Source organism: Homo sapiens, chromosome 12, assembly GCF_000001405.40.
Source record: "Homo sapiens chromosome 12, GRCh38.p14 Primary Assembly".
Lineage (NCBI taxonomy): Eukaryota > Metazoa > Chordata > Mammalia > Primates > Hominidae > Homo > Homo sapiens.
This window is the reverse complement of record NC_000012.12, coordinates 7534867-7547323: the sequence shown is the minus strand read 5'-3', so window position 1 is coordinate 7547323 and position 12457 is coordinate 7534867. Positions and strand designations below refer to the sequence as shown.

The following is a 12457-nucleotide window of genomic DNA, read 5'->3' as shown; positions in this document are numbered from 1 at the left end:
TTTCTAGTTTATTTAAGTAGAGGTGTTCATAGTATTTTCTGATGATAGTTTGTATTTCTGTGGGATTGGTGATGATATCCACTTTATCATTTTTTATTGCGTCTATTTGATTCTTCTCTTTTCTTCTTTATTAGTCTTGCTAGTGGTATATTTTGTTGATCCTTTCAAAAAACCAGCTCCTGGAATCATTGATTTTTTTGAAGGGTTTTTCATGTCTCTATTTCCTTCAGTTCTGCTCTGATCTTAGTTATTTCTTGCCTTCTGCTAGTTTTGGAATTTGTTTGCTCTTGCTTCTCTCGTTCTTTTTTTTTTTTTTTTTTGTGAGATGGAGTTTTGCTCTTTCACCCAGGCTGAAGTGTGGTGGCATGATCTGGGCTTACTGCAACCTCTACCTTCTGTTTCAAGTGATTCTCCTGCCTCAGCCTCCCAAGTAGCTGGGATTACATGTGCCCACAACCATGGCCAGCTAATTTTTGTATTTTTAGGACAGACGTGGTTTCACCATGTTGGCCAGGCTGGTCTTGAACTCCTAACCTCGTGATCTGCCCACCTCGGCCTCCCAAATTGCTGGGATTACAGACGTGAGCCACCGTGCCCGGCCTCTCTAGTTCTTTTAATTGTAATGTTAGGGTGTCGATTTTAGATCTTCCTTGCTTTCTCTTGTGTGCATTTAGTGCTATAAATTTCCCTCTACACACTGCTTTAAATGTTTTCCAGAGATTCTGGTACATTCTGTCTTTGTTCTCATTGGTTTCAAAGAACATCTTTATTTCTGCCTTCATTTTGTTATTTACCCAGTATTCATTCAGGAGCAGGTTGTTCAGTTTCCATGTAGTTGTGCAGTTTTGAGTGAGTTTCTTAATCCTGAGTTCTAATCTGATTGCAGTGTGGTCTGAGAGACAGTTTGTTGTGATTTCTTTTCTTTTACATTTGCTGAGGAGTGTTTTACTACTAATTATTCGGTCAATTTTAGAATAAGTGTGATGTGGTGCTGAGAAGAATGTATATTCTATTGATTTGTGGTGGAGAGTTCTGTAGATGTCTACTAGGTCTGCTTGGTGCAGAGCTGAGTTCAAGTCCTGGATATCTTTTTTAACCTTCTGTGTCGTTGATCTGTCTACTATTCATAGTGGGGTGGTAAAGTCTCCCATTATTATTGTGTGGGAGTCTAAGTCTCTTTGTATGTCTCTAAGGACTTGCTGTATGAATCTGGGTGCTCCTGTATTGGGTGCATATATATTTAGGATAGTTAGCTCTTCTTGTTGAATTGATCCCTTTACCATTATCTAGTGGCCTTCTTTGTCTTGTTTGATCTTTGTTGGTTTAAAGTCTGTTTTATCAGAGACGAGGATTGCAACCCTTTTTTTTTTTTTTTTTTTTCATTTTCTTGGTGGATCTTCCTCCATCCCTTTATTTTGAGTCTATGTGCATCTCTGCATGTGAGATGGGTCTCCTGAATACAGCACACAGATGGGTTTTGACTCTTTATCTAATTTGGCAGTCTGTGTTTTTTAATTGGGGCATTTAGTCCATTTACATTTAAGGTTAATATTGTTATATTTGGATTTGATCCTATCGTTATGATGTTAGCTGGTTATTTTACCTGTTAATTGATGCAGTTTCTTCATAGCATCAGTGGTCTTTACCATTTGGCATGTTTTTGCAGTGGCTGGTACTGGTTGTTCCTTTCCATGTTTAGTCCTTCCTTCAGGAGCTCTTGTAAAGCAGGCCTGGTGGTGACAAAATCTCACAGCATTTGTTTGTCTGTAAAGGATTTTATTTCACCTTCACTTATGAAGCTTAGTTTGGCTGGATATGATATTCTGGGTTGAAAATTCTTTTCTTTAAGAATGTTGAATATTGGCCCCCACTCTCTTCTGGCTTGTAGGGTTTGTTTAGAGAGATCCACTGTTAGTCTGATGGGCTTCCCTTTGTGGGTAACCCGACCTTTCTCCCTGGCTGCCCTTACCATTTTTTCCTTTGTTTCAACCTTGGTGAATCTAATAATTATGTGTCTTGGGTTGCTCTTCTCAAGGAATGTCTCTGTGGTGTTCTCTTTATTTCCTGAATTTGAATTTTGGCCTGTCTTTCTAGGTTGGGGAAGTTCTCTTGGATAATATCCTGAAGAGTTGGATATTAACTAACTTGGTTCCATTCTCACCATCACTTTCAGGTGCACCAGTCAAACGTGTATTTGGTCTTTTCACGTAGTCTCATATTTCTTGGAGGCTTTTTTCATTTGTTTTTACTCTTTTTTCTCTAATCTTGTCTTCTCACTTTATTTTATTAATTTGATCTTCAATCACTGATATCCTTTCTTTCACTTCATCAAATCAGCTACTGAAGCTTGTGCATGCATCATGAAGTTCTCATGCCATGGTTTTCAGCTCCATCAGGTCATTTAAGGTTTTCTCTACACTGTTTATTCTAGTTAGCCATTTGTCTAACCTTTTTTCAAGGTTTTTGGCTTTTTTGCGATGGGTTAGAATATGCTCCTTTAGCTCAGAGAAGTTCGTTATTACCGGCCTTCTGAAGCCTACTTTTGTCAACTCATCAAACTCATTCTCTGTCCAGTTTTGTTCCTTTGCTGGCGAGGAGCTGCGATACTTTGGAGGAGAAGAGGCACTCTATTTTTTTGAAGTTTCAGCTCCTCTTCCCTGGTTTCTCCTCATCTTTGTGGTTTTATCTACTTTTGGTCTTTGATGTTGATGACCTACAGATGGGTCTTTGGTGTAGATGTCTTTTTTGTTGATGTTGATGCTATTCCTTTCTGTTTGTTAGTTTTCCTTCTAACAGTCAGGTCCCTCAGCTTCAGGACTGTTAGAGTTTGCTGGAGGTCCACTCCAGACCCTGTTTCCTGAGTATCACCAGCAGAGGCTGCAGAACAGCAAATATTGCTGCCCGATCCTTCCTCTGGAAGCTTCATCCCAGAGGGGTACCTGTCTGTTTGGGGTGTCTGTTGGCCCCTATTGGGAGGTGTTTGCTAGTCAGGCTACACGGGGGTCAGGGACCCACTTAAGGAGGCAGTCTGTCCATTCTTGGAGCTAGAACGCTGTGCTGAGAGAACCACTGGTCTCTTTAGAGCTTTCAGATGGGGACGGTTAAGTCTGCAGAAGCTGCTGCCTTTTGTTCTACTATGCCCTGCCTGCAGAGGTGGAATCTATAGAGGCAGTAGGCCTTGTTGAGCTGAGGTGGGTTCCACCCAGTTCGTGCTTCCTGGCCTCTTTGTTTACACTGTGACCTACTCAAGCCTCAGCAATGGCAGGCACCCTTCCCCACATCAAGCTGCTGCATCGCAGGTGAATCTCAGGCTGCTGTGCTAGCAGTGAGCAAGGGTCCATGGGTGTGGCACCCATTGAGCAAAGCACAGGAGGGTATCTCCTGGTCTGCTGGTTGCTAAGACTGTGGGAAAAGTGCAGTATTTCATCAGGAGTGTACTGTTTCTCCAGGTACAGTCTGTCACTGCTTCCCTTGGCTAGGAAAGGAAATCCCTCGACCCCTTGCAGTTCCCAGGTGAAGCGATGTCCTGCCCTGCTTCAGCTCGCCCTCCATGAGCTGCACCCACTGTCCAACCAGTCCCAGTGAGATGAACCAGGTACCTCAGTTGGAAATGCAGAAATCACCCGTCTTTTGCGTCGATCTCACTGGGAGCTGCAGACCGGAGCTGTTCCTATTCGGCCATCTTGGAAGTGCTCTCCAAGATGTTTTCTTGAGATGCAAATAATTTGAATGCCCTTTCAAACACTGTGACAGAACAGCAAGGCCCACACTTTTCCTCCTTCCACTTTATCAGTTCAACTTAGCAGGGCCAGAATTCAAACTCATGTTCATAGAGATTTCATTTAATTTTCAGCAAAGAGCATTGTGTAAATCAATACATTCTTTCTTGTTTTTCACTGCCCCTTTGGAACTATATACAGGTGTGCTATGATTATGGAGGACTGAAATCAGCACACGATGTAGGAACTCTTGTTGGTCTGCACTGCTGTTTTTCTCTGTTTGCTTTTCTGATGGTAGATTATGTTAATGTTATCTTTCTTGTCTTTAATTTCTGAGTTGACACAAAGTAAACAATCTGACATTCCTTTAAGAAACAAACTATTCCTCTTTCTGAAAACACTGACATTTGACTTTCATTTTAGGCAAATTTTTACTGTCTCTGCTTTTGGGAACTGCAGTAAATGGTTAAGAGTACCAGAAGAACTTGTCATCTATAGCATTCCTGTTAGAACATTTCACAAGGACTAGAAATCTTTTTAGACAGTAGAGTGGAACAGAAAGAATGGGAAGTAGCTCTTTCTTGGCAGGGTTGCAGTATACTTTTTTTCTGGAATTAGTAAGAATGATGAACTGTTACACAATGATGGGGAAGTTGTGAGTGGGTGACCCAGAGAGACATGATAGCTAAATTTCACTGGGATCCTGTTTCTCATTCTGTTTTCCTCCTTTGGCTGTGATCACTGCTGGATAAAACAACATAGCTGAGCAGATAGAAAACACTTTAAATCACTCTCCCTATCCTCACCTGGCCTTCAGTTCTGTCATTAAGCTCACTCACAATCTGTACTACATCATTTATTCATATTTCACAAAAAATAAAAATAACTTCACTGAAACTCTTCTCACCAAGTTCATTATTGACCTGCACTCTACAAATCCAGAAGAATCTTTACAATCTTTATTTTGTCTGATGTGTTAATATGATTTGACACATGGACAATTGTCTTGTAGCAGGATGAGCCATGGACAAAACCCCTCAGACACCGAGATAGTGAAGGGAGTGGCTTTAATCAGCTGGGAGCATCGGCAGGCTAGCGTCTTAACATCTGAGCTCATCAGGTGCTCAATTTTTGTCCCTTTTAAGAGCTCACAACTCTAAGAGGGTCCACGTGAGAGGGTCTTGATCGATTGAGCAAGCCAGGGAGTACGTGACAGGGGCTGCAAGCACCGGTGGTTAGAGTGAAACAGAACAGAGCGGGAGGTTTCACAGTGTCCTTCCGTACAATGTCTGGAATCTATAGACAACAACAGTTGCTAGGTCAGGGGTCGAATTTTAACTACCAGGCTTAGGTCAGGCAGGCCCTGGCCTGATTTCAGGTCTGGTTCCTTGGTTTCTGGTCTGGTTCCCAGGCGCCAGGCTACCTGCCTTTAGTTTCACTTCTCTTTCCTTTTCTGAGTTTAAAACAATATAAAAAATATGAGAGGGTCTCTCTCTTCCCTCAGTTTCTGTTTTGAATATTTCTTTTTTTTGGCTATGGGGTCTCACCTCCTGCTGGATTTTCTTACATAGATCTGGCGACTCCTTCTATGTTTCTTTTGAAAAGAAAGATCCTGGTAGGTGATCTCTTTGACATCTTTGATTTTCAACTGCCATTGAAGACCAGCTGTTGTGATTTTCCTCGAGTTTTTGTTCCAGAAGAGGTTGCAGTGGGTGTTTACAGTGTGTCTTTCATGGGACACTTTTTTTTATCCTGGAAGACAACTCAATGCCTAAGTGTCTGCCCCTTCACCAGGTGTTCCTCTCACAGGAAACTTTATTAAGCTAGCAGATGTTCTTGCACTCTTCTCTGACCTGTGTCCAGTTTATTCCTACCAAGATAGCCACTCTCTAAGAGAGCCCTGCCTGGGAGGAGTGTTCAGTTCAGGTGTATTGGTCAGGTGAGAAACAGAGGAGCCAACATAGCAAAACACATGAAATAACAGAAGCACTGTATTAATTACAGATCCCAGAGAGAAGGGAGCAGCAAGAAAAATTCTGAGGTCAAGTGTTCACTGTTTGAACTCTCTCAAAAAACAAAACAAAACAAACAAACAAACCCTACAACTATGGAGCAAACATGTAAAGCTTTCTAAGTTTTGTGTCTGTCTCTACTTTTTTTCCTGCCTACTTTGAATCTGATAACTCTTCTATTGGTGTTGAGATAAAATGGATGGCTTATGGCGCTCCAGCCAAGACTTTTTAAAAAGTCTTAAAAAGCTTTCAACTGAATGGCTTTACAAATTACAACAGCTTCATTATAACCAACAACCTAAACACCTTTTGAAAATGTACATATTTAGTTAGGCTTGTCTGACCAATGTATGCTCAGGGTGATGGAACAATTAGTTGAATAATTAATATTCTGAAAAAAAAAGAACTAGACAAACGTTTATAAAAAGTTAAGCTCTCAGATTAAACAGATCAAAATCTTGAGCTCAGAGAAATAACGTAAACTGTATCTGCCACAAAAATTGCTCTGTCTGCCACACAGGGACCAACAGACAAAGCAAAACAAACAAACAAACATAACTTCTAAAGCGCTTCCCCATCTGCATTGACTAGTCAACCAAACAAAAAGTACCTCCTTGCATATGATTTGCAGGAATGCATCACTGCCTTTTGCTCTTTTTCTTTCTCCCCTTGAAAAGGTGTTTGTTTGTTTGTTTGTTTGTTTTGATTAGCTGGGGTGATAAGTCTCCCCTTCAACTTTTTTGTCAGCTCCCATAACTATTTTTCTCCAGTTCTAACTCTGCTATTATGGCCTGATGCTCATTTACCTAAGACAATCTGAGTAAAATTTCTTAAGAGATTTCTGGCTGACCATATCAGATTTTACCATGTAAACACAATATATGACATAATACATGTACACATGGATAAACACACCTAAACACACATACATTCACACAAATGTATTATAGCTTTTGTTTTAGAATTTTAGCCATGAGACAGTAAAACAAACTTACTGGTTTACAAAAGGCAGCTGGATTAAAAAACTGGTTATAGTGGCTCATGCATGTAGTCTCAGCTTCTGAGGAAGCTGAGATTAGCGTCTCCCTTGAGCCCAGTAGTTTGAGTCCAGTCTGGCCAACATAGTGAGATCCTTTCTCAAAAAAAAAAAAAAAAAAGCAGTTGGATCCAAATTATATTTTTGACAAAATGAGGCCTGTTCACATGGCTAAACATCACTTGTCCTAATTAAGTTAATGGGCCAAAATTGGGGGTAAAGCAGATTCCATAGCAGTTTGATTTTTAGCAGCCTACTTTTATGCTTTTTTTCAATTTTTAATAACTGTAGGGTTACATTTTTAATGTTTACATTTTAGCCGAACTGGCTGAATTGTGTAAGAAAGCCAATATCTCAAAGTTTTTCCCCAATTTGATTCCGTACTAGTGGTTTTTTTAATGTGTCTAAATTATTCCATGTATCCAGGATACTTCCCATACTGTCCTGAAAAACCATGTATTCCCCTGCTCAAGATAATAGTTTTCTTGTTTACATTCCTCTATAATATGTGGTACACTCATAGCTTTGGACATCATTATTCCCACATCTGATTAAAATCAAGTGCCTTCTTCATCAGACTCAACCTCAAGGATATCTAAATGGGCTTCCCATAAGGAGAAGCAATCACAGTGAAGGAGTTTTTGTTTTAGTTTAAAAATTTTTTTTTAATTTTTTTAACTTTTTTGGTACCCAGCCTAATAAACAAAAAAGAATTTACATTTTATCAAGATAATTTTCCAATGTCATCTTTATCAGTTTTTTAAATTAGGAAAGCAGAACTTTGAGAGGTTAAGGTTTTTAAAATCCATGTAACTTTCTTTAATGCTTTTGAAGTCTTTATTTTCACTATGGTTTAATAAATGACTGCTATTTCAAAGTGACCTATTATTCTGTTTTGATCAAGTGTTTTGAACCTTTTGATATCTTTGGCAGGCTTTCCAAGGACCAGAATTCTAAATGAAGTCTTTTTGAACTAAAATTAACTTTGAAATTTTCAATCTAAGCCCCTAGAGAGACTCAAAGAACACATCTCTCATCCTGCAGATTTTAAATGATTAGGCTTATTTGGTAAATGATATAAAAAGCATAGTCAAATGACAAGTGATACTAGATCTTCTTTTAGTTGTACTTATGGATAAATTATTGAGATGAATATTTCAAAAATTATATAAATTTATAAAAATCTAATATGTTAGTCATAATTTTGGTTGTTAGGTTAAATCTTCTTTTAAGTTATATTTTTATGGATGTTATTGGTCTAAGTATTCTAAAGATTAAGTGAAATCTATGAAAGTCTGGTGGACCTGTTATGAGCTCACAATCATGATTCTGGTTGTTATCTTAAAATGTTGTAAAGAAATGACAAGAAAACTAAATTTTCTTTTCAGCTGTGAACTTTCATCATATTTTAACCATAACTATTCTAAGTCTTTGTTATCCATAGTTATTATTTTTATTTTTCTCTATAATTATTTATAATTGGCTATAGTCCAAAATTGCTTTTCATAAAAAAGACTCTAACAAGTACTCTTAAACTCATAGTTCTAATAATTTTAAAATTAATAGACTAAATAAAAATTTCCGGAATTCTGATGAAGAAACTGATGGGCTCAGGAAATTGCTAATCAAGGTCAAGCAAACAAAATTTTAATTACATGAGATTTAATAATTGATGAAAATATTACTTTTATAACTTTTATTTAAAACATTATGAGAGGGAGAAAGCAAGGGAAGAGAACAGGAATCTCTGCCTAGTAATTTAGATAATTCTCACAGATCTTGTCCAAGACCATCAGTGTGACACATCTACAAGTTTGCAAGAACCACAGTATTACTGGGCTTGAGGTGCCCCCTAAAGCAAATACAGCTTAGATCACAACACCCAAGCCCTGTGGAATATCTGGAAAGCTTTCTCAAGAAGGATGGGAACAAACAAGCCAAGACAGTGAAGACTACAGTAAATGCCTAACTCTTCCATGCCCACAAACCAAAGAATGTCTATGAGCATCAACACCATCTAGTAAAACAGGACCTCACCAAGTGAACTAAATAAGACACCAGGGACCAATCCTGGAGAAACAGAGATATATGACCTTTGAGACAGAGAATTCAAAATAGCTGTGTTGAGAAAAATCAAAGAAATTGAAGATAACACTGAGAAGGAATTCAGATTTCTGTCAGATAAATTTAACAAAGAAATTGAAATACTTAAAAAGAATCAAGCAGAAATTCTGGAGCAAAAAAATTGCAGTTGTCATACTGAAGAACACAACATAATCTTTTAATAGCATAATTGATCAAGCAAAAGAAAGAATTAGTGTTGGCCAGGTGTGGTGGCTCATGCCTGTAATCCCAGCACTTTGGGAGGCCAAGGTGAGCAGATTACCTGAGGTCAGGAGTTCGAGACCAGCCTGACTAACATGGAGAAACCCTGTCTCTACTAAAAATACAAAATTAGCTGGACATGGCAGTGCATGCCTGTAATTCCAGCTACTCAGGAGGCTGAGGCTGGAGAATTGCTTGAACCTGGGAGGCAGAGGTTGCAGTGAGCCGAGATCATGCCATTACACTCCAGCTTGGGTAACAAGAGTGAAACTCCATCTAAAAAAACAAACAGACAGACAAAAACAGTGAAGTATGCCTACAGAATCTAGAAAATAGACTCAAAGGGATAATTCTAAGAGTTATTGGCCTTAAAGAGGAAGGAGAGAAAAATATAGGAATAGAAAGTTTATTTAAGGGCTAATAACAGAGAACTTCCTTATTGGAAGGGATAAGAACAGAGAACTTCTCTTCACAACCTAGAGGAAGATATCAATATTTGAGTTCAAGAAGGTTATACAACAAGTAGATTTAACTCAAAGAAGACTACTTCAGGCATTTAATAATCAAACTTCCAAAGTTCAAGAATAAAGAAAGGATCCTAAAAGCGGCAAGAGAAAAGAAGCAAATAACAAACAAGGGATCTCCAATACATCTGGCAGCAGACTTTTCAGTGGAAATCTTACAGGCCAGGAGAGAGTGGCATTACATATTTAAAGTGCTGAAGGAAACAACAACAACAACAAGAACAACAACAACAAACAACAACTTTTACTCTAGAATAGTAAATCTGTGAAAATATCCTTCAAACATGAAGGAGGAATAAACACTTTCCCAAACAAACAAAACTTGAGAGACTTTATCAACGGTAGACCTGTCTTATAAGAAATGCTAAAGACAGTACTTCAATCAGAAAGAAAAAAACATAATGAGAAATAAGTAATCATATGAAGGTACAAAACTCACTGGTAGTAGTAAATACACAGAAAAACACAGAATATTATAACACTGCAAGTGTATTTTGTAAACTACTCTTATCCTAATTAGAAAGACTAAACAATGAACCAATCAAAAATAATACCTATAACAACTTTTCAAGACATAGTCAAGACAAAAAAAATTAATAGAAACAAGAAAAGGTTAAAAAGTTGGGGGATGAAGTTAAGGCATAGAATTTTTTTTATTTTTGCTTCTTTGTTTATGCAAACAGTGGTAAGTTATTATCAGGTGAAAATAATGGGTTGTAAGAGAGTATTTGCAAGCCTCATGGTAACTTCAAACAAGAAAACACACAGCAATACCAAAAAAAAAAAAAAAAAAAAGAAAAGCAAGAGACTAAATCCTATCACCAGAGACAATTACCTTCACTAAAGGAAAGAAAGAAAAGGCCACAAATAATCAGAAAACAACAAAATGGCAGGAGTAAGTTCTTACTCGTTAATAATACCATTGAATGTAAATAGACTAAACTCTCCAATTGAAAGACATAGACTGGTTGAATAGATGAAAAAACAAGACCTATTGATCTGTTGTCTACAAGAAATGCACTTCACCTGTAAAGACACCAGAGGACTGAAAATAAAGAAATGGAGAATGATATTTCATGCCATTGGAAACCAGAAAGGAGCAGGAGTAGCTATCCTTATACCAGACAAAATAGATTTCAAGGCAAAAACTGTATGAAGAGAAAAAGAAGGTCACTATATGATGACAAAGTGGTCAATTCAGCAAGAGGATGTAACAATTTTAAATATATATGCACCCAACATGGGAGTTCTCAGATATATAAAGTAAATATTATTAGCACTAAAAGGAGAGATAAGTTCCAATACAATCATAGCTGGAGACTTCAACATCCCACTTTCAGCATTGGACAGATCATCCAGACAGAAAATCAACAAAGAAACATTAGACTTAATCTGCACTATAGACCAAATGGATCTAAAATATATTTACAGAACATTTCATCCAACACAAGAATTTAAAAATTTAAAAAAATTGAAATAATACTAAGCATCTTCTCTGACCATAATGGAATAAAACCAGAAATCAATAATGAAGAATTTTGGAAACTATATAAATACATGGAAATTAAGCCATGTGTTCCTTAATGACTAGTGGGTCAATGGAAAAATTAAGAAAATGTAAAATTTTCTTGAAACATATGATAATGGAAACACAACACAGCAAAACCTATGGGATACAGCAAAAGTACTATGAGGGAAGTTTATAACTATAAGTGCGTACATTAAAAAAAGAGGAAACTTCAGATAGACAAGCTAATGGTGCATCATAAAGAACTAGAAAAGCAAGGGCAAACCAACCTCAAAATAAGTAGAAAAAAGGTAATAAAAGGGGATGGAGCCAAATAAAGACAGATCTGCTCTGAAGCTCCCACTGAGAAGGATGGTGTATTAGTCTGTTTTTATGCTGCCGATAAAGACATACCCGAGACTGGGAAGAAAAAGAGGTTTAATTGGACGTACAGTTCACATGGCGGGGGAGACCTCAGAATCATGGCAGGAGGGAAAACCTACTTCTTACATGGCAGTGTCAAGAGAAAAATGAGGAAAAAGCAACAGCAGAAACCCCTGATAAACCCTTCAGATCTAATGAGACTTATTGACCATCACAAGAATAGCACAGGAAAGACTGGCCTCCATGATACAATTACCTCTCCCTGGGTTCCTCCCACAACACTTGGGAATTCTGGGAGATACAATTCAAGTTGAGATTTGGGTGGGGACACAGCCAAATCATATCATCCCACCTCTGGCCCTTCCAAATCTCATGTCCTCATATTTCAAAACCAATCATGCCTTCCCAACAGTCCCCCAAAGTCTTAACTCATTTCAGCATTAACCCAAAAGTCCACAGTCCAAAGTCTCACCTAAAACAAGGCAAGTCCCTTCTGCCGATAAGCCTGCAAAATCAAAAGCAAGCTAGTTCTTCCTAGATGCAATGGGGGTACAGGTATTGTCCTTAAAGAGGAAGGAGAGAAAAATATAGGAATAGAAAGTTTATTTAAGGGCTAATAACAGAACTTCCAGCAATTCCAAATACAGCAATTCCAAATGAGAGAAATTGGCCAAAACAAAGGGGTTACAGGGCCCACGCAAGTCCAAAATCCAGTGGGGCAGTCAAATTTTAAAGCTCTAAAATAATCTCTGTTGACTCTGGGTCTCATATCCAGGTCATGCTGATGCAAGAGGTGGGTTTCTTTGGTCTTGGGCAGCTCTGCTTCTTTGGCTTTGCAGGGTATAGCCTCCCTCCTGGCTGCTTTCATGAGCTGGCATTGACTGTCTGTGGATTTTTCAGGTATACAGTGCAAGCTGTCAGTGGATCTACCATTCTGGGGTCTGGAGGAT

The 12457-nt window shown here is 38.2% G+C and overlaps 1 annotated feature.

Annotated features, from left to right (window-relative positions):
- Positions 390-559: an enhancer, noted in NCBI's record as "experimental_30893 CRE fragment used in MPRA reporter constructs". NCBI's record gives its function as "activates a minimal promoter by MPRAs in K562 erythroleukemia cells, with activity observed for the introgressed 12:7699446 variant allele {active_cell/tissue: K562}" and the evidence as "EXISTENCE:reporter gene assay evidence [ECO:0000049][PMID:34662402]".